Source organism: Homo sapiens, chromosome 12, assembly GCF_000001405.40.
Source record: "Homo sapiens chromosome 12, GRCh38.p14 Primary Assembly".
Classification (NCBI taxonomy): domain Eukaryota; kingdom Metazoa; phylum Chordata; class Mammalia; order Primates; family Hominidae; genus Homo; species Homo sapiens.
The window spans coordinates 117,161,249-117,181,259 of NC_000012.12; the positions used below are offsets into that span (position 1 = coordinate 117,161,249).

Genomic DNA, 20,011 nt, shown 5'->3' on the forward strand with positions numbered 1-20,011 from the left:
AGAGGCCCTGGGCAGACACGCAGCACATGCAAAAGACTGAAGCAAGACAGTGCAGGCACACAGAAAAAGTAGTGGGTGCAGGAGAGGACCAAGGAACTCCACGGGAGGTGGGGAGCATCAGGCAAGCAGGGCCAGACCGCCGAGAACCTAAAAGCCACACGGAGGAGAGCAAGTCTGGTCTTCAAGGCAACAGGGGAGCCACCCTGAGGGGTTTAAGCAGTGAAGGGACCTAATTGATATTTTGTTAAGATTCCTCTGGCCTGCATACAGAGCGGGTTCACAGGGGCTCAGAGTCCAGAGAGGGAGGACAAGCAGGAGGCCAGGGCACTGCTTCGGGCTGCAGAAGTGCTGGTCTCAGCGGGTCGACTTTCACCCGTCTGGGAGACAGAGTCACGTGCAGGGGTGTAGCAGGTGTGTGGATATGCTGGTCTGAGCCCAGGGTCCAGGCAGGGGTCCAGTGCTCCAGCAGCCACAGCAGACAGGCAGAAACTGACACAAGAAGAGGGGAACTGTCCTAGGGCACAGGTGCAGGGTAGAAGACGTCTAGAAACCATCCTTCAGCCTTGAAGGGAGGAAATAGCAAGAGCCTGAGAACCAGAGACCACAGAGCAAAAGTAACCGAGTGTTCCCAGAAGGGAGTAGCCTGCAGTGACAGGGCAAGATACAGAAAGAAAAAGTATGTACTGCATTTATCAACGAGGAGAATGGTTTCAGCCAAAGAGGGTCACTGGCTTCCTTGGCAAGAACAGTGCCTATGGAGGAGGCATGGGAACGGGTCCTGATGTCCTGGGGAGTGAGTGGGAGGCAGACTAAGAGCTTCAGCTCTTGGGGAGGAGGAAAGGTGGCAACCCAGGGAAATTCCTGCAGGGCAGACAGGGAGTGCTTTTTGTTTTTCTTCTAATAGAAGAGAGGGGTGTTTGCCTTGGAAAATTGGAGGGATACCTTTTCCACTGAAAGGAAGAGAAAGAGGGAAAGGAGAACTATGGATCATGATGAGGACGAAGGTCTGGCAGCAGGAAGGAGAAGGTGCCTGTGTGCTGGCTTCTTCAGAAGCGCTCTGGCCTTGGCCCACTGTACCACGGGATGCCGCATGGGGTGGGCTAGGGCATCAGCTTGCCTGCACTGAACTCCTAGTGCCGTCACGGCATGTGCAGGAGACCTGGCTAAGTTATTTAACTTCTCCCTGCCTCAGTTTCATTATTTCCCATATGGCAAAAAGAAAAATAATATCTACCCTATAGGGCTGCTAAGAAGATGGAAGGAGGCGTTCAGTCAGTACTCCCGACTTAAAATCTCACCATCCCGCCCTCTCTATGTCCATACAGCCGTCATAACCCTGCATTACTGTGACAGTGACCAAGGCGGCTGATGTTTCTTAGCTCTTCCTGATTTAATTCAATCAATAACAAGACAACCTTCAGGCCTTCCCAGCTCAGGAATGTCTCCCTTTCACTTGATAAACTCAAAGCCTTCCACAAACTGGTCTCACACTCCGTAACAATTTTATACACACATATGTAAAAATACACCTCAAACTGCACACTCATCAGCATAGAAATCCGTGCTAGGCTGACATCTGCAGGCGCCACACCCTCCCACCCCTGGACCACGTGCAGGCTGTTCCCACTGACTGGAGTCACGTACTTTTCTGCCCTCTGAAGTTGTTTTTCATTTTTCAAGGTCACACCTGAAACCCTTCCTCTGGAGAGGAACCTTGTCCGATTTCTTCAGCACCCCCTGGCTTCTTCCGCACTGGGAGTCCCAGAGTTTTCCTTGGCTGTCTCAGGGGCCCTAGCGGGATTATGCATTTATTAAGGGTAGGCAGTCACACATGCGCTGGCAATGAGCCACTTTTCTCCCCTAATCTCTGAATGAGGGGTCACCCAAGAGATGGACTCCAGCAGCAAATGTCAAGATTTCCCCCTAAAAGGGGATGTTAATAGCATCACTTCGACAATGACTCAAAATTTAACTATCAAATTTACATTTAAAGAAACTTGCAGGCCGGGCACGGTGGCTCACGCCTGCAATCCCAGCACTTTGGGAGGCCGAGGCAGGTGGATCACTTGAGGTCAGGAGTTCAAGACCAGCCTGGCCAACAGGGTGAAACCCCATTTCTACTAAAAATATAAAAATTAACCAGACGTGGTGGCACGTGTCTGTAATCCCAGCCACTTGGGAGGCTGAGGCAGGAGGATCACTTGAACCCGGGAGGCAGAGGTGGCAGTGAGCCAAGATTGCGCCACTGCACTCCAGCCTGGGCAAGAGAGTGAGACTGTCTCAAAAAGAAAGAAACAAAAGAAAAAAGAAAAAGAAGAAAAGAAACTTGCTTTGCTCTGCATCTCATAAAAACTTAACAAGTCTAAAGTAAAAAGTGTATATATATCCTGGTATCAAAAATAAATAGGCAGGGGCTGGGTGTGGTGTCTCACGCCTGCAGTCCCAGCACTTTGGGAGGCCGAGGAACGCAGACTGCTTGAGGTCAGGAGTTCGAGAACAGCCTGGCCAACATGGTGAAACCCCGTCTCTACTAAAACAAATACAAAAATTAGTCAGGCGTGGTGGTGTAGCTATAGTCCCAGCTACTCGGTAGGCTAAGGCAGGGGAATTGCTTGAACCTGGAAGGGAGAGGCTGCAGCAAGCTGAGATCGTGCCGCTGCACTCCAGCCTGGGCGACAGAGCAAGACTCCATTTCAAAAAAACAAACCAAAAAAACCCCAAATAAATAAATAAATAGGCAGGGTGTGGTGGCACACACTTGTAATCCCAGCACTTTGGGAGGCCAAGATGGGCTTGAGCCCAGGAGTCCAAGGCCAGCCTGGGCAACATGGTGAAACTCAGTTTCTATTTAAAAAAAAAAAAAAATTAAAATACATAAATAAAATGAAAATAAATGATTACATCTTGGACAAGTAGTTGGTAGCTTTGGTGGAAAGTTTTCTTTTCCAATAATTCCTCTACCACATTACACATATATTCTGGGAGGACATTTTCTATGTGGGCTACAGATGACATCTTTTCTTTTCTTTTTTTTTTTTTTTTTTTTGAGACAGAGTCTTGCTCTGTTGCACTGGCTAGAGTGAAGTGGCATGGTATCAGCTCACTGCAACCTCCGCCTCCTGGGTTCAAGCAATTCTCTTGCCTCAGCCTCCTGAGTAGCTGGGATTACAGGTTCCCACCACCACGCCCAGCTAATTTTTGTACTTTAGTAGAGATGGGATTTCACTATGTTGGCCAGGCTGGTCTTGAACTCCTGATCTCAGGTGATCCACCTGCTTCAACCTCCCAAAGTGCTGGGATTACAGGCATGAGCCACCATGCCCGGCTGACATCTTTTCTTAAAACAGGAGCCTTGGGGTTTTCCTACTGATGCATCATTTCTTAGAACTATTTTAGATCTCCGAAGTTGTGAATCAGTGAGACTTTAAATTTAAGCAATGTAGAGTCACTTGTAATATTTACTTTTTCAAGGAAGATTTTACCCCTCTCTAATGACACAGGGAGATGAGTTTATGTTGATGGCCTGTGAGACCTCAGAATTAAATTCTGCTCTAAACAAACAAAAAGGACTATTCACATATTTCCAGAGAAGGGCCAGGGCATGGTGGGAATGTGCAGCTGGCTCCTGCACCATTATACACAACGGGCCTCTCCATGTGCTGCAGCCACACAGCTCACGGAGGTAAACACCGCAGCCTTCTGAAAGGGCATGCTGCTGCCCAAAGGGGGCCATTAAAAAACTGAGAAAATTCAAGTGAAACAGTGTCAAAATTCAATGGTTTTCAGAAAGTCCTTCTCTAGTCCAGTGGCTGGACTTGAACATATCTAAGATCCAATTTTCCTGTGAAAACAGGAGTACTTATTCATGGCCAATGTAGTTGCTAACAGTACAGCTGGAGGTTGACCATTTACAGCTGTGCTTTCCCTTGCTGAGTGAGGGTGACTTGGGGAAAACGATCTGAGGGCCCCAGTGGTTGAGTAGCGGGTACAGAGGCTTTGTGGTTCTAGGGTTTAAGGAGCTGACCACAAAGAGAACAGGCAATTCCTGGCAGTGGAACCAATTTTCCTTAGAATAAGAGAAGTAAAAAAAAATCTACCAATGGGTTATGATTGGGAGACTGAATAAATTTGTGTTTATTCCCCATGTTAACACAAAGATAAGCTTGTCACGGGCACCCTTCAATCTAGGACTTCCCTTTCTAAGGCAAGTGCAAAGCATCAAAGTAAAATAATTACCTTCTCTGGCCAGATTCCCAGGTGGAAGTAAAGCCTGGCTTGGAGGAGGAGAAGCTGCACCTGGTCCGGGTACATTGCCAGATAGAGATCCAGCGAGTCTCTCAGGAGCTGGTATGACTGGTCGATGCCTTCCCTAGCAGAGGAAAAACAATGTTTGTCTCATCCTGCTTGTTTTTTCAGCAAAGACTCTCTTTTTCAAGGCCCAGGTTTTAAATATAATTGACACAAATCCCAAACGTTTTCTGATTCTGGTATTTCTTCTCAGCTCAACGAAGAGATACAATGCTCTTAAGAAAAAAAAAATACACAATAAATATAAATCTTGTGCCCTACTTTGGTGATGGGTACTAAATTAAAATCAGAAGCATTTTTACTAAGCAGTCACTGCAATAACACTGTACATAATTAAAAATGAATTCTGAAGGCCGGGCGCAGTGGCTCATGCCTGTAATCCCACCACTTTGGGAGGCCAAGGCGGGCGGATCACCTGAGGTTGGGAGTTCAAGACCAGCCTGACCAACATTGAGAAACCCCGTCTCTACTAAAAATACAAAAATTAGCTGGGCGTGGTGGCGCATGCCTGTAATCCCAGCTACTCAGGAAGCTGAGGCAGGAGAATCGCTTGAATCCAGGAGACAGAGGTTGTGGTGAACTGAGATCACGCCATTGCACTCCAGTCTGGGCAACAAGAGCGAAACTATGTCTCAAAAAAAAAAAAAAAAAAAGAATTCTGAGTAGGCGGAGCACAGAGGATATTTTTGGCCAGTGAAACTACTCTGTGTGATACTATAAAGGGGGACACATGTCATTATGTGTTTGTGCAAACACACAGAATATATGACACCAAGAGTGAACCCTCAGTGATAATGATGCGTCAGTGCAGGTTCACTGGCTGCAACAAATGCACTGCTCTGGTGAGGATGTTGACAGTGAGGGAGGCTGTGCATGTGTAGGGCAGGGAGGATATGGGAACTCTCTGTACTTTCTGCTCAATTTTGCAGTTAGTCTAAAACTGCTCTAAAAAATAGTCTATTAAAAAAAAGAATTCTGTCATTAGACATAAAACTATTACTATAATATAGTCTACAACTTTCTACTTTCCCTATATGACAAATTTTCTTGGACTTAGAAACAAGACAGTTTCATATTTTTGTTTTCTTATCTAATGATAGGAAGGTATAAATTAAAAGACGGCAAAGCATTTGGATATGAGAAGATCTTGCCCTTGAAAAATATCTTTCCTAGTCTAAGATATTCTTGTTACTGAAGAATGTTTCCAGTACTCGCAAAGAGAACTTCTTAGGGTCTACTGCAAAGATCTCAACGAAAAGTCACTTGGCACATCTCAAACACAATTCAAGCCTCTAAAGACATGTGCTCTGCAGAAGTACTAGAAAACCAAGAAAACCTTACCGCTTCCCCAGGCTTAACAGGTTTCCCACCATTCTCTGTAACACCTTCTTGACATTGACCACCCCATACAGTGCTGCAGTCACGTGCTGGCCGATCAAGTACTCGCATTCTTTCACTGTCAGCTGCTTGCCTTTCCCAAAAGCATCTATGTAGATGTAGTCAAAGATGTCCAGGGTCGCCCTATCCAAAGAGCCAAATATCAGATGAGAGCTGAACAACTCATTATTTTAAGTCTCCACAGTAAGTAGCTCAAATCATGGGCTGAAGGTTGAGACCATAACATTTCTACTTACAATATGAAGGTCTTGTCCAAGTTTAAAATCTGACCCCTTTGTGCAAGCTCTGCTAAGACCACAGCACACTGACATTTAAGAAACAGCACCAATGTATGTCATCTAATAGCGTTCTTTAGGAAGACTAAAACTCACTGCCAGGAGTATCTACAAGTTCAGCTAAGATAAAGATTTATGGAATGCCTGAGGCAGTCTGTTAATTCCATAGATTAGCAGCAGGTAACCGTCTGTGGATCCTGGGCCCTGGATGATCTGAAGAAAGTTACAGAACCTCAGCCGGGCGTGGTGGCTCACACCTGTAATCCCAGCACTTTGGGAGGCCGAGGCGGGTGGATCACAAGGTGAGCAGATTGTGACTAACATCCTGGCTAACACGGTGAAACCCGGTCTCTACAAAAAAATTGGCCAGGTGTGGTAGCACGCACCTGTAGTCCCAGCTACTCGGGAGGCTGAGGCAGAAGAATGGTGTGAACCCGGGAGGCGGAGCTTGCAGTTAGCCAAGATCACGCTACTGCACTGCACTCCAGCCTGGGCGACAGAAAAAGACTCTGTCTCAAAAAAAAAAAAAAAAAGTTACAGCACCTCACACCAGAAGGATTCGGCCATCAGTTCTGCTGACATGCTGAGGTGGTCAGAGACCTGCTGAGCCCATCACAGCCTTGGGCTGGGAACCCTGTGCTAGAGCACAGAGAGCTGTGCCCCTGGCCTTGATCACACAGCTCTTCTTGCAGCTCTTCTGCTTTCTGTGACCTGCACTCGAACTGCACTAGTATGCTGGGGCTGGCCCTCGCTGAGCACAATGCTGAGCAGTGGTCACATGATGCAAGCTCTCACTGAACTGCCAGGCCCATTCTCTGTGAGGACTCATGGAATCCTCATGGAGGATTCAGGTGGCTCTGTTTCAGGGATATTAGTGTTTCTTATGAGCTATTGTTTCATCTTATATCTGAAGCCCACTACAAATCGTAGCATATTCCTCTCTTTGGTTGCTAAAAAAGTCCAGTCGAATTTCTTCCTTGAGTCATATTTATAACCTACCCTTAGCAAGGATATAGCTGGGTGCGGTGGCTAACGCCTGTAATCTCAGCACTTTGGGAGGCCAAGGCAGGCAGATCACGAGGTCAAGAGATCGAGACCATCCTGGCCAACATTGTGAAACCCTGTCTTTACTAAAAATACAAAAATTAGCTGGGCGTGGTGGTGCATGCCTGAAATCCCAGCTACTCGGGAGGCTGAGGCAGGAGAATCACTTGAACCCAGGAAGCGGAGGTTGCAGTGAGTCAAGATCGCACCACTGCCCTCCAGCCTGGGTGACAAAGTGAGACTCCATCTCAAAAAAATAAAAAAAAATAAAATAAATAAACCTATGAGGAAAGTACAAAAAAAAATAAGAATTACATAAATGTTCTAGAAACAAGGCACTCTTAAACTCTTTTTATGAGGCTAGAACTTCCTAAGGACAAATGTACAAAAATTTCTAGGCCAAGATCATTTATGAGCTATCATAAATGCAAAAATCCTGGATAAAACATGAGTAAATCAAATGCAGCAATGTATTTTACAAATAAGTGATTAAGTTAGATGTGCTGCAACAATCGAAGGAGAGTTGAACATGAAAAAATCTATTTTGTAACAGATGCTAAGGAGATTGTGGAGAAAAAGGAATGCTTATACACTGTTAGTGGGAGTGTAAATTAGTTCAACCATTGTGGAAGAGAGTGTGGTGATTCCTCAAAGGCCTGAAGACAGCTAAACCATTTGACCCAGCAATCCCATTACTGCATATATACCCAAAGGAATATAAGTCATTCTATTATAAAGTCACATGCACACATATGTTCACTGCAGCACTATTCACAATAGCAAAGACCTGGAATCAACCTAAATGCCCATCAGTGATAGACTGGATAAAGAAAATATGACACATATACACTATGGAATACTATGTAGCCACAAAAAAGAACAAGATTATGTCCTTTGCAGGGATATGGATGGAGCTAGAGCCATCATCCTTAGCAAACTAACAAAGGAACAGAAAACCAAAAACTGCGTGCTCTCACTTATAAGTGGGAACTATGTGATGAGAACACATGGACCCAGAGTGGAACAATACACACTGGGGCCTATCAGAGGGTGGGCGGTGGGAGACGATAAGGAAAAATAACTATGGGCACTAGGCTTAATACCTGCATGAAATAATCTGCACAACAAACCCCCATAACACAAGTTTACCTATGTAACAAACTTGCACATGTACACCTGAACTTAAAAGTTAAAAAAAGAAATTCTATTACAACAAAAAAATATACTTCTAAACATATGGACTAAAAGAGAAAAACCTTATCATATGAGTAGACACAGAAAAAGAATTTTGAAAAAAAAAAATCAAATGCCTAGCTATTAATAAAACTTAGCAAAGTAGGAATTTAGATGGTAGCTTTCATAATCCCTAACTGCTCCCAACAGCATGCCTGCTGGTGAATTTTGGTTTTCTTTTTCTGAGACAGGGTCTTGCTATGTTGCCCAAGCTGGCCTTGAACTACTGGGCTCAATCAATCCTCCCACCTCAGCCTTCCAAGCAGCTGGGACTACAGGCGTGCGTCACCGTGCCTGGCTTTGAAATTGTAAAAGCATTCCATTTAAAATCATACCCAAGGCAAGAGTCCCTGCTATCTTTGTTTTTATTTAACTTTGTACAAAAAGATCTAACCAGCAGAGTAATGCAAGAGAAAGAAACAAATATATATAGTTACAAAAAAGAAGAAACCAAATTGTCACTATTCACAGATACTATGATTATCCACAGAGAAAAGCCAGGAATGGACAAATTATTAGCACTAACGATTTATTCAGCCAAGGCACTGAAGATCCAAACTGTATCTAGATAGCAACCACATCTCTGTATATCATTAATACTTAAAAAAATGTAATCTTAAAAATTACCATTTACAACTGAAAAAAAAAAAAAAAAAAGGAAGGTACCAAAGAATAAATCTAACAAGATGTTAGCTTGATGAAGAAAAAGATAACATCTTTTTAAGGCCAGTAATGACAACCTAAACAGAGTGGTCCATGTTCACAGAAAGACTGATAGTGAGACATTGGCGATGTCCCCCTATTAATCTAGAACTCCAATTCAAAGTAATCCCTGGCTCCAATCAACAGACACATAGGGTTTCCAAAGAACCTGACAAAACTGATTCTAAATCTATACGGAGAGCAAAAGCTAAAAACAGCCAAGGCAATTTTGAAGAACTAGCTGGAGTTTCATCCTACCAGATATCAGGGATAATTATAAAGTTACAGTGCTTAAGAAAATATGGTCTTGGTACAGGGACAGAGAAAAGTGGCCAAAGGCAGAGAGAAGAGAAAAGGACAGAAAGGGCCATAGCCCAGCAGCTCCTGCCTTGTCCCTGAGGGCTGAGTCCCTTATGGGGCTCAGTGCTTGTTTCTGTCACATGTCTAGGGGGTATTAAATTATTTCATTGTTCATTTGCATTATAGTGTATGTCTGCTGTAGCACACGAAGGAAAAATGATGTTAACTGCATACAATCCTACCCTGTAGTAAGTTATCGTGGCAAATGACATGGTAATTGGTGTCTTAAATGTTTTATAGTGTACAGAAATCTTTGGTGGATTATTACATAGGCATTTAAGAATATTTTGGAGATACTTGGGGAGATTGGTTGGGTTATTTGGGGAGAGGGAATGGGATGAAAAATCATTTTTCCCACTTAAAATAATGGAAATTGGGTCCCCACTATCCAAAAATTAAACCATGCAGTACATCCTCAGAAACACATATCTGGAACACAAGGGAAGCCTGTATGGGTATTTAAGGCAACACACAGAAGTAATGAACCATCAACATTTGCATGGAAATAAACACAGCCAGGCGCGGTGGCTCACGCCTGTAATCCCAGCACCTTGGGAGGCTGAGGCAGGCGGATCACTTGAACTCAGGCGTTCAAGACTAGCCTGGGCAACATGGCAAGACCCCGTCTCTACAAAAAAATTAGCCAGGTGGTGGTGGTACATGCCTGTGGTCCCAGCTACTAGGGAGGCTGGGGTGGGAGGATGGCTTGAGTCCAGGAGATGGAGGATGCAGTAAGCCAAGATTGCGCCAATGCACCCCAGCCTGGGTGGCACAGCCAGACCCTGTCTCAAAAAAAAAAAAAAAAAAAAAAAAGAAATAACAAACACTTTCAAACTGGTGGTTAGCTCTGGAGAGGAGAAAGGGATGAGGAAGAGTACCTGGGAGGCTTCAACTAAATAGGTAATGTTTTATTTCTTAAACTAAGAGGTAGGAACAGAGACCAATTGTACTTTTTTGCTATGTCACATCAGAAACTCTCCTGGGTATATAATATACTGGGTGAGCTCATTTAATCTTCCAAGCTGCTTTATAAAAAACATTAATCCATTTTACCAAGGAAGAAACAGGCCTCCTCAGAGGAAGGCAAAGTTTGAACCTAGTTTGACTATAAAGCTCTGGTACTTTCTATCACACAATTCATCATTAAAGGGTATCAGAGTTAATCATTAAGACAGAGTTTCAAAGATCAGGACATAGGTAAATAACTTTTTTCTTTTTCCCCTAAATTGTAGATTTAATGAGAATATATTTCTACCTGTTGAACTATTTCTTTCAGAAAAGCTAGACTATAACTGAAAATGAGCTTTTTGCCCTACAGAGCACTAGGTTTAAAAAAGAACAAAACAGAACTCAGTAACCAGGTCTCTAAAATTCTCATCAGTCACCAACCTTGCCTGAAGGGGAACGTGGCCACCCTATTCAATCTCCCCTGCTTTCTTTCCCTCCCTTCCTCTCTTCCTCTCCCACTCATGTGGGACAAAGGGGGAGATTTTACGGAAGAATGAAAAGAAATAATTTTTTTAAGAACTCTTTGATCTGATCTGCTTTGGAACAAAGGGACTCTGAGAACCACAGAGGACCCTGAAATCAGAGTCTTATTTTTTAAAATTAAACTTTTTGAGATAAATGTAGATTCACACATGCAGTTTTAAGAAATACAGAAAGACCCAGAGTACCCTTTTCCCAGTCTCCCCTGATGGTACCATCTTAACTGTTATAGTATAATAACACAACCAGAATACTGACACTGATACAGCCAGGAAACAAAACAGTTCCATCACCACCCTAGTCCTATTTTTAACCTGTGTGGTAACACCCAACTTGATGATGAAAATCAGACTGCCTCTCAGCACAGAGGGACCAAATCTTCAGGACCACAGATAATGTGTCACGGATGCTCACCCTTCTGCGCCTTGGCACCACCTTAATAAGAAGTGACTTGGGAAGTTGACAGGCTCCAGTGGGACTCCCAACTGCCGAGCAATTGTCAAATAGAGCAGAGACATGCTGATTGGGATTCCTGTTCTGCGAATCAAAACCTAAAGCAGAAAAAATGCTTTTATTTCACTGGGATGAACTATACGTTCTCATTCTTTCAATAAACATTCTCATTAGGCACCTATTGTGCATTGGGCATGATGCTCATTTGTGAGGCTTAAGTGAGTATTTCACTTATTTAGGTCAGGGGTGGGTAAACTATGGTCCATGGCAATTCCAGTCCACCGGCTATTTTTGTACAGCCTGTGTAAGAAGAAGTTTTATGTTTTTTAATGTTTGAAAAAATAGTTAATACTATTCAAAGACATATGAAAGTAACATGAAACTCAAATTTCAATGTCCATATATACAGTTTTGTTGGACACAGCCATGCTCAGTTGTTTTTATATTATCTGTGCCTCCTTTTACACCACAGTGGCAGAACTTGGTGGTTAACAACAGAGACTACATGGCCCTCAATGCTGAAATAATTTTTTTTTTTTTTTTGAGATGGAGTCCCGCTCTGTTGCCCAGACTGGAGTGCGATGGCGCAATCTTGGCTCACTGCAACCTTTCGGGTACAAGCAATTCTCTTGCCTCAGCCTCCCGAGTAGCTGGGTTTACAGGCAACCGCCACCATGCCTGGCTAATTTTTTTGCATTTTTAGTAGAAACAGGGTTTCGCCATGTTGGCCAGGCTGGTCTCGAACTCCTGACCTCAGGTGATCCGCCCACCTCGGCCTCCCAAACTGCTGGGATTACAATGTAAGCCATCATGCCTGGCCAAAGCTGAAATAATTTACTGCCTGGCCTGTTACAGGAAAAGTTGGTCAAGCCCTGATTTAGGCCCTCCTTCTTCCAGAAAGTATTTAAGACTGTTCCAAGGAAAAGTGTGTACGATATAACAAAATAAAATGAAAGTAGCAGACAGGGCAACAAACTAAATATGAAAATGGAACTAGGCAGAAAGCAAATAAAAAATAAATATAACAGATGCAAACTTGACACAGCTGGGCCACAGGTTCTCCCAAATGGCTAGAGGCCAGTGCAAAGAGGACCCTGATTAGTTTTACAGTTTAGTGTTCACAAGATACAAACTGACCAAACAGAGTCAGAGAAATATCTATTTTTAGTCAAAAATTTATCTCAAGGGTTTGCATATGGAGGATACTCCATGAGGAAACAGATAAACTCCACAACAATATCCTTACAGCAGAAGGAAAAATAAGTTTCATCGAGCACTCAGAGATGGAAGGCATAGTACTGACCTTCAAGAATGTACGGTCCATCAGAGAGAAGCTTAAAAAAATACATATAGGATGGGCACAGTGGCTCACACCTATAATCCCAGCGCTTTGGGAGGCCAAGGCAGGAGGATCACTTGAGGCCAGGAGTTTGAGACCAGGCTGGGCAACATAGCAAGACCTCATTTCTACAAAAAATAAAAAATTAGCCGGGTGTGGTGGCATGTAGTCCTAGCTACTCAGGAGGGTGCGGCGGCAAGATCGCCTGAGCCCAGGAGTTTGAGGTTGCGGTAAGCTATGATCGCGCCACTGCATTCCAGCCTGAGCAACAGAGCGAGACCCTGTCTCTAAAAACAGAAAAAAAAAGTTACTATACCTATATTACTATACCCATATATTACTGTACCTATATTTACCTGATGCATATATAAGTTGAGGGCATTATAGTAATCCATTCGATTCCCCTTGAACTTCAGTTGGTCGTAAAGGACATAGTTCATGGCATCCAGCACCTGGCTCTGGAGTTCTATTTCCATTATCATGGATGATTCACCTGAAACACAGAGATCTACTCTGGGACCCAAGCACAAAAAAGGTTGTGACAGGTGCCCCAAACAACTCACAACATGAAGACATTGGCAATGGCCTAACAATATTAATCAAGTGTTGCCAATCTAGGAAGCAGAAGGCAGTATGTATTTGAAGTGTTTTAGGTTCAACACTTCAACCAGGTAAACACGTGGTCACGTCATTTTATCACTTTTTCATGACATAATGGCAGCACACTAACAAATCTCTCAAATTAACCAATTCCTCTAGATTTTCTTTCATAAATACAGCTGGATCCAAAGCAATGCCACACCTGCCTTGAAGGCCAAGCTGGGGTGGCGACTGTTTATGCCCCGAAGGGTTTTGCAAACAAGCTCCACGATGCTGTCAATTTGGGCCTGGATGTCTTTGAGGCTGATGTCGGAGAGAGGATTGCAGTACTGGTCAATATATACAGCACCTGAAAATGAACAAGAATTACCGAATAAATTCTCACGTTACCCTTTTCTTATTAGTTTGCAATTTTACCCTGGACATCCTGGGACATGGCTCTTTACACCATCCCACTGGACAAGCTTCATGTTTTGGCCATGGACCTTGCTGCTAACACACTGAGAAGGAGCAACAAACATTTTCATAACAAAGTAGCTTTAACTTTAAAAAAAAAAATACATAAATCAAACTTCTCTCAGAAGTCATGGACTAAAAAACTGCGTGGTATATGGCGCAGTTTCATGTTCTATTACAAAGAGAAGTAAATGACATCAAGGAGATCTTTTCAAGCTACTTCTCTCTCCCTAGCTGTTATAGGTTCCAAATCCAACAACTCTGAAAACTTAATGGTATAAGGCAGTTCCTTTAAAAAAACAAAACAACAAAAAAAAACAACTTGAAAGCCCTCCATGACAGATGTGCCATTTCAACAAATTACACATCTCAAGGGTGAACAGTAAATGGATTCTGGAGCTAACCCCACTTTCCAATGAGATAAACAGTTATGCTCGGGGAACCTACAGCTGAAAAGCTGTGCAGAGCACACTGCAGACAGTCTCTTAAGAATCACTCCTCTTCACAGTCTTAGGTAATTTTGGAAGCAGAGACTGAAGGGCTAACAGCATCATTTGGGTAAGGACACCGTTATGTGGGAAGCTCTCGAGTCACCTTAAATTAAAGAGATCTCAGACCAGCTCAGAACCTGGACTCCCTTACCAATGCTCCAGAGCTCAAAGCAGTTGAACGGGTGTCAAGACACCTCGACCCCAGTCCCAGTGTTGCCACCAGCCAGGGACTGTCTCCTCGGCCTCCGAGGGCCCCAGCTTCCCTACCTGGAAGCTGAAGCAGTTTATGCTGCACATTTCTGAAGTCCGTTCCTTCCTAATGCTATGATTCCCAGACTTCTTCGATGGCATCAGCATTATTCCAGTCAGTCACCAAGGATCAGAAACTTGGAGAGCCAACTGTCATTCACTCAACTACTAAACAACTTCCAATGGCTTCTCAATGCTTATGACACTGATGTGGAAGTTCTTTGAAAATTATAACTTTGTATTTAGAAAATGAAAAAGGAGTATTTGTTTTCATACATAAGCTACAAAAAAATATACTATTCTTAACTGTGAAATAAACAGAAGATAGGATGCTTCTCAACTCCAGTATACAAATGAGGGGATTCTAGCAGTGAGAATTTATTTTAATCAACTGAAACAGATGTTTCATTTCCTTTTGGATGATACTAGGTTTTCATACACTTGATAAACATTTACACTAAGCATTGTGAGGTATACAGTGATCCTAACACAAGGACCACAACACGGGAAGCTTAGGGACTAGTTACAGAAACAAATGTATACACAGGAAACAGAAAAAATGCAAGACAGCTTACTATTAAATGCTACTGTAGCTCTGAGGTGAGTAAAATCTCCAAGTAGTCAGTGGAAATTTAATGGAAGTGAGGCTTGAGCTGAATTATGGAGGGGGAGTAGGATTTTCAAGAGGGATTATGAGAAGGAGGGATATCATGAATGAGGAAGTGAAGCCAGGTGTATTTGTGGGGCACCAGTCTAGACAATGGCCTGGCTGGAGCAAATGGGACATCCTGGAGAGTACGGAGCAAAGGTCTGGACCAGATTATGCAGGGCATTGAAAAGCAGGTAGAGGTTAAATATAAAAGGGAAATCAGTTGTCCACATTGCAGGTTTCACATGCAGTGGTGAAGGCTAGATTTCTAATGGGGCTGGCACTGGTATTTTGGCTGACTTGGAGGGAAGGGGGGGTAATGTTCATGAAAGCAAGTATTACTCAGAAAGTTGTTGCCAGGAGAGGTGGCCATAGACTGCATGAGACTAGTTACAGAAGCCAGCCAGGTGTGGTGGCACTTGAGCACGGGAGTTTGAATCTAGCATAGGTGACATAGCAAGACCCCGTCTCTAAAAATAAATACATTTTTTTTAAAAAAAGGAATAGTAACAGAATGGGAACATGACTATGAGATACACTGGAATGGAAAAAAAAATCAACAATCTGGTAAAACATCAGAAGTAGGGAATAAAAGTAAACGACCAGTCATATTTGTATTTCATAACCATAATTTATGGGAATGTTTGTGTAATATTGTAGGAATTCAAAATCATTTTAAAAAAAATGGAAGTCTCACTTTGTTCCTGTTCAACTTAATAAGAACAAAAAGATTCTCCACTCCCTTCATCTTGCCTGTCCACTCAACTTCTTCCTTCTCACCTTTCATTACGGACAAGCAGACTCACTGATGCCCAAGAACATTCTGTCCTCAATAAACTCCAACCTGAGAGGTTAAGGGATTTACTCAAGGTCACAGGGAGACAAAATTGGATACATTTACTTCTGATTTGGAAATGATCATTAAAGCTCGGAAAAACAGGAATTTACTTCATTAGCTAAAGTATCACTCTCACATTTTAAGCCAATGATGCATCTTTAAAAAACACTATTTCTTTAGTGGACTTTGATAAAATCTTAGCTCTAAATTTAATAGTTTGAACTACCTCATTGATCAGGCCCTATAATCCAACCTGCAGAAGCCCACGCAACATGATTTGCTTTTTCACTTCTTTACCACAAGGAACACAATTCCCTCTGCTGGTCTTAAAAAACTAATCAGTTACCTACAGAAATACTACTGTCCACATATATGGGAAAAGACCCACCTTCAAGATACGACTCATAGTCATCTGGCTGCTGAAGAAAGGCCTTAAGATTATTTAAGATCTTCTGTTGCCGCAGGTAGTAAAGAATTTTTTTTGCGTAGTATTTCCAGGTCAAAGCTTTTCTGGAAACAAAAAGTCAGTAAGAATTAAGATTTGAAAACTTTCAGTTATCTATTTTTCACATTACACTAACATACCATGTAGTTTGCTTAACAAGAAAAATATAATTGGTTCATTCTCTTATAATAATTATAATGGAAATAGCAGTCTTTGAATTGTAATATAATACTAAATTAGTTGTACTGAAATCTGAGGAACAGTTATCTGCCTGGCTTCAGACTTACTTGCCTGTATCTTTCATAAAAGGAAATGGAAGAGCAGCCTGAAAAAGGAATTGAGCTGGGGGAGGTTCAGAAGATGGGGAGGCATCTAGAACCTTTTGCTGGTCCCCCTGCTTGGGCCACTTGGGCCTGGGCACTCACTGCCATGGTGAGTTCCTCACGGTTTCACATATTATGAAAACTCCTATTTTCCAGACCAGAGTTCTCTCTTGAACTCTAGACCTTTGTATCAACTACTATCCATCTACTCCACATCCCACTCAGATAGCTGAGCACTTTCATCTTTCTTCCCCTCCCAGAGTCACCCTCATCTCTGATCAAGGCATCTCCATCATTCTAGTGAGGCATAAAACCTGCGAGTCATCCTGGATGCCTTGCTTTCTCTCATAAGCCATACTTAAGACCTGTCAGCCAATGCTATCGGTACTATCTTCAAATTACATCCAAAATGTGCACACTTCCCAATTACTCCCACACACCACCATCAGCATTCCTGTGTTGCAGCAACATCCTCCTACCTCAGCTTCCCGCTTCAGACCTGGCCCCTCCACAGTCCATCCTCAATACGGCAGCCAGAGCACTGCAGTAACACGTACGGTCACGCCACCCAATCCTCGCCTCCAAGTCTCCAGCGGTTTCCCACCTCGCTCCAAGAAAAAGCCCAAGTCCTAAGGAGGACTTAAAAGGTCTCTTGAACTCTCGCCCCATTACCTCTCTGACCCCAATTCCTGCCACTCCCCCTCAGTCCAGCCACCCAAGCATTCCAGCTGTTCCTTTACTGTCTGGCGGGTGCTCACCTTAGTGCCCTGTTCTTCTGCCTGGAACATTCTCTCCAGAGACTGCAGTCTGTTCTCACCTTCTCCTAGGTTTCAACTCAAATGTCCCCTTGAGTAAGGCCCCCTACATTATTTTAAATGGTACCCCCTCACCACTCCCCTGCCTTCTTCCCCGATTATATTTCTCTATAGCATGTTTCATTTTCTAATGTAACCAATTTCTTAGTGCCCATCTCGCCCACTACAGTATAAGCCCCATGAAGGCAGGGATTTTTTTTGTGTTGTTCACTGCTGTATCCCTAGTGCCTAGAATAGCATCTGGCACATAGTAGATGTTCCATAACACTTGTTGAGTGGATAAAATTCTTCACCACATATCCCAAATACATATGGGGATTATAAGAAGCAGGAGAGAGACAGTGATGAAACTTATCTGGCTGACATCATGAAGAAACAAACAACTTGCCAATCTTGAGAGAGGTCAATGAAAATCTGCAGAATGATCTATGTTTCATCTACTTTTTAACCTTTGAGTTGTAAAATATATCAATCTAGAAAATTGTGTGAAACAAACAAGTAGCTTAATGAATCATTACAAGGCACATTCCTGGATCTAACACTCTTGCCAAGAAAGAAAACTTTGCAAACGGCCAAGAAGCCCTCCGGGGCCCCCCGCAACAATAATCACAAACCACACCTCTATGGTCATCACTTTCTTGCTTTTCTCTTTAGTATTACCATGAAATATACATCCCTAAACAGGCGAGTCTGTTTTGATGCCTTCTAAATCTCTTAATCTACAGGATCCTCCTCCATCTTTTTTTTTTCCCTTGCATTTTATTTGTTGAAGAACCTGGGTTGTTTGACCTGCAGTTTCCCATCGTCTGAAATTTGCTGACTGTACCCACATGATGTAGTTTAACATGTTCTTCTGTCTTCTGATCTCCTGTAAATTGGATGTAGAGGCTACATGAGATACAGATTCCATTAATTTAGCAAGATAATTTCATAGAAGGTAGTGCATTCTCCCATCAGGAGGCAATAATGCCTGGGTGTTTCTTTTGTGATGTCAGCAGCACTGCTACTCAATGTCTTGATCTGTTCATTCATTTGAGGTTACGAAGTGGTGATATTAAAATTCAATCAACCCTTCTTAATTCATTAGCTGGGATACTTCTATAAGGAAAAACCTCCCCGTCTATTATTTGATCCCCCATGATACAGTACATGGAAAAGGCAGGATAAATGCTCATATCTTCTATTTACAATTTTTCAAAACAATGATATGGGCTTCTATTTATCCTTCAAAGGTGACCAATTAATTTTTTAGTATTATGGACTCAGAGAGACAAGCATATTCGATGCATTTCAATCCATTCCTGTTATTATCCACACTGATGCTCTAACTGTCACATCTTTGGCCACTGGAAGCCTCTTCATATTGGTTCCTCAATACTTCCGACATAAAGTAGTGTCAGTTTTCTTACTATCTGGTTAGGTTTCCAGGATGCACCACCAGGCTCATCTTTTAAAATCCTTGCATTGGACATACAATCAGTCTTTCTCCAAAAACCCTGGCTTCTTTTGTGGAAAATGTTGTATCAAGATGACAATCTGGAAACCAGGGAAGATCAATTCCACTAGGTTGGTTATTATTTCTAGATCTTTTCAGCAAACAGACGTAGGAAGCCTAGTGTTGATGTGCACGTGTGTGTACATGTACATATGCACATGCACTTACATATACCTACATGTATTTAAATATAAAATACCTTTTGAGTTCACACTGGCACTTCTAATTCAAAAATATATGTCTCTGACCTTCTTCTATCTTATATCTATGTCTTCTTTATTCCAGGAGAATTCTGCTTCTCCAGGATATCACAGGTGGTAAAATTAGAATATCACATCGTTATTCATTTACTTCATTCCACATCTCTCTCTCATACACACACACCAGCCCTCAGAATAACAAGACTAATGTTTTCATCACTTTTTTTTTTCTTTTGAGACGGAGTCTCGCTCTGTCGCCAGGCTGGAGTGCAGTGGTGCGATCTCAGCTCACTGCAATCTCCGCCTCCCGGGTTCAACCTAGTCTCCTGCCTCAGCCTCCCAAATAGCTGGGATTACAGGCTGCATCACCACACCAAGCTAATTTTTTTTTTTTTATGTATTTTTAGTAGAGACGAGGTTTCACCATGTTGGCCAGGATGGTCTCAGTCTCCTGACCTTGTGATCCGCCTACCTCAGCCTCCCAAAGTGCTGGGATTACTCATCACTTTTATGATTACTGAAAACAGCTAAATATTTTGCATATGTTCTCCCCCACTGTCCATTCATTTTTTAAAACAGATGCATTGTATTTATACTGACATGTCTTACAGACGTTACACATGAAATATTTTCTCCCCTAGAGCCCTCATTTGAATTTAAATCTAAAAATAAATACATGTTTAGTGCTCACTGCCAGTCCTTATATCAGTGTTTCTCTGTTTTGTTTTTTTTGGGGCGGGGAGTGGTTTTTGGTCATTTGAAATTCATTTTCCAGGAGATCTCTCAGGAAGGACTGAAAAGTCACTGAATTCTTGTTAAGTTGTTAAGTTTCTGTGCAGTCTTTGTATCT

General features: G+C 42.7%; 1 protein-coding gene across 4 annotated transcripts in view, besides 1 other annotated feature; it reads right to left on the reverse strand.

The window, feature by feature from the left end:
• Positions 1-20,011, reverse strand: part of FBXO21 (F-box protein 21) — a 48,480-nt gene that overhangs the window by 19,258 nt on the left and 9,211 nt on the right. For 2 of the 4 annotated variants that reach the window (NM_015002.3, NM_033624.3), the window contains exons 4-9: positions 16,272-16,393; positions 13,403-13,549; positions 12,957-13,093; positions 11,223-11,359; positions 5,650-5,829; positions 4,237-4,369 (exon numbers count right to left, since the gene is read on the reverse strand). In NM_015002.3, coding sequence (NP_055817.1) covers positions 4,237-4,369; positions 5,650-5,829; positions 11,223-11,359; positions 12,957-13,093; positions 13,403-13,549; positions 16,272-16,393 — 856 coding nt within the window. The remainder of the gene's footprint in view (positions 1-4,236; positions 4,370-5,649; positions 5,830-11,222; positions 11,360-12,956; positions 13,094-13,402; positions 13,550-16,271; positions 16,394-20,011) is intronic. The other 2 variants (XM_017019038.3, XM_017019037.3) reach the window with 1 other exon arrangement.
• Positions 5,027-5,076: a silencer, noted in NCBI's record as "silent region_4914". NCBI's record gives its function as "represses an Ori minimal core promoter by ATAC-STARR-seq in GM12878 lymphoblastoid cells {active_cell/tissue: GM12878}" and the evidence as "EXISTENCE:reporter gene assay evidence [ECO:0000049][PMID:35858748]".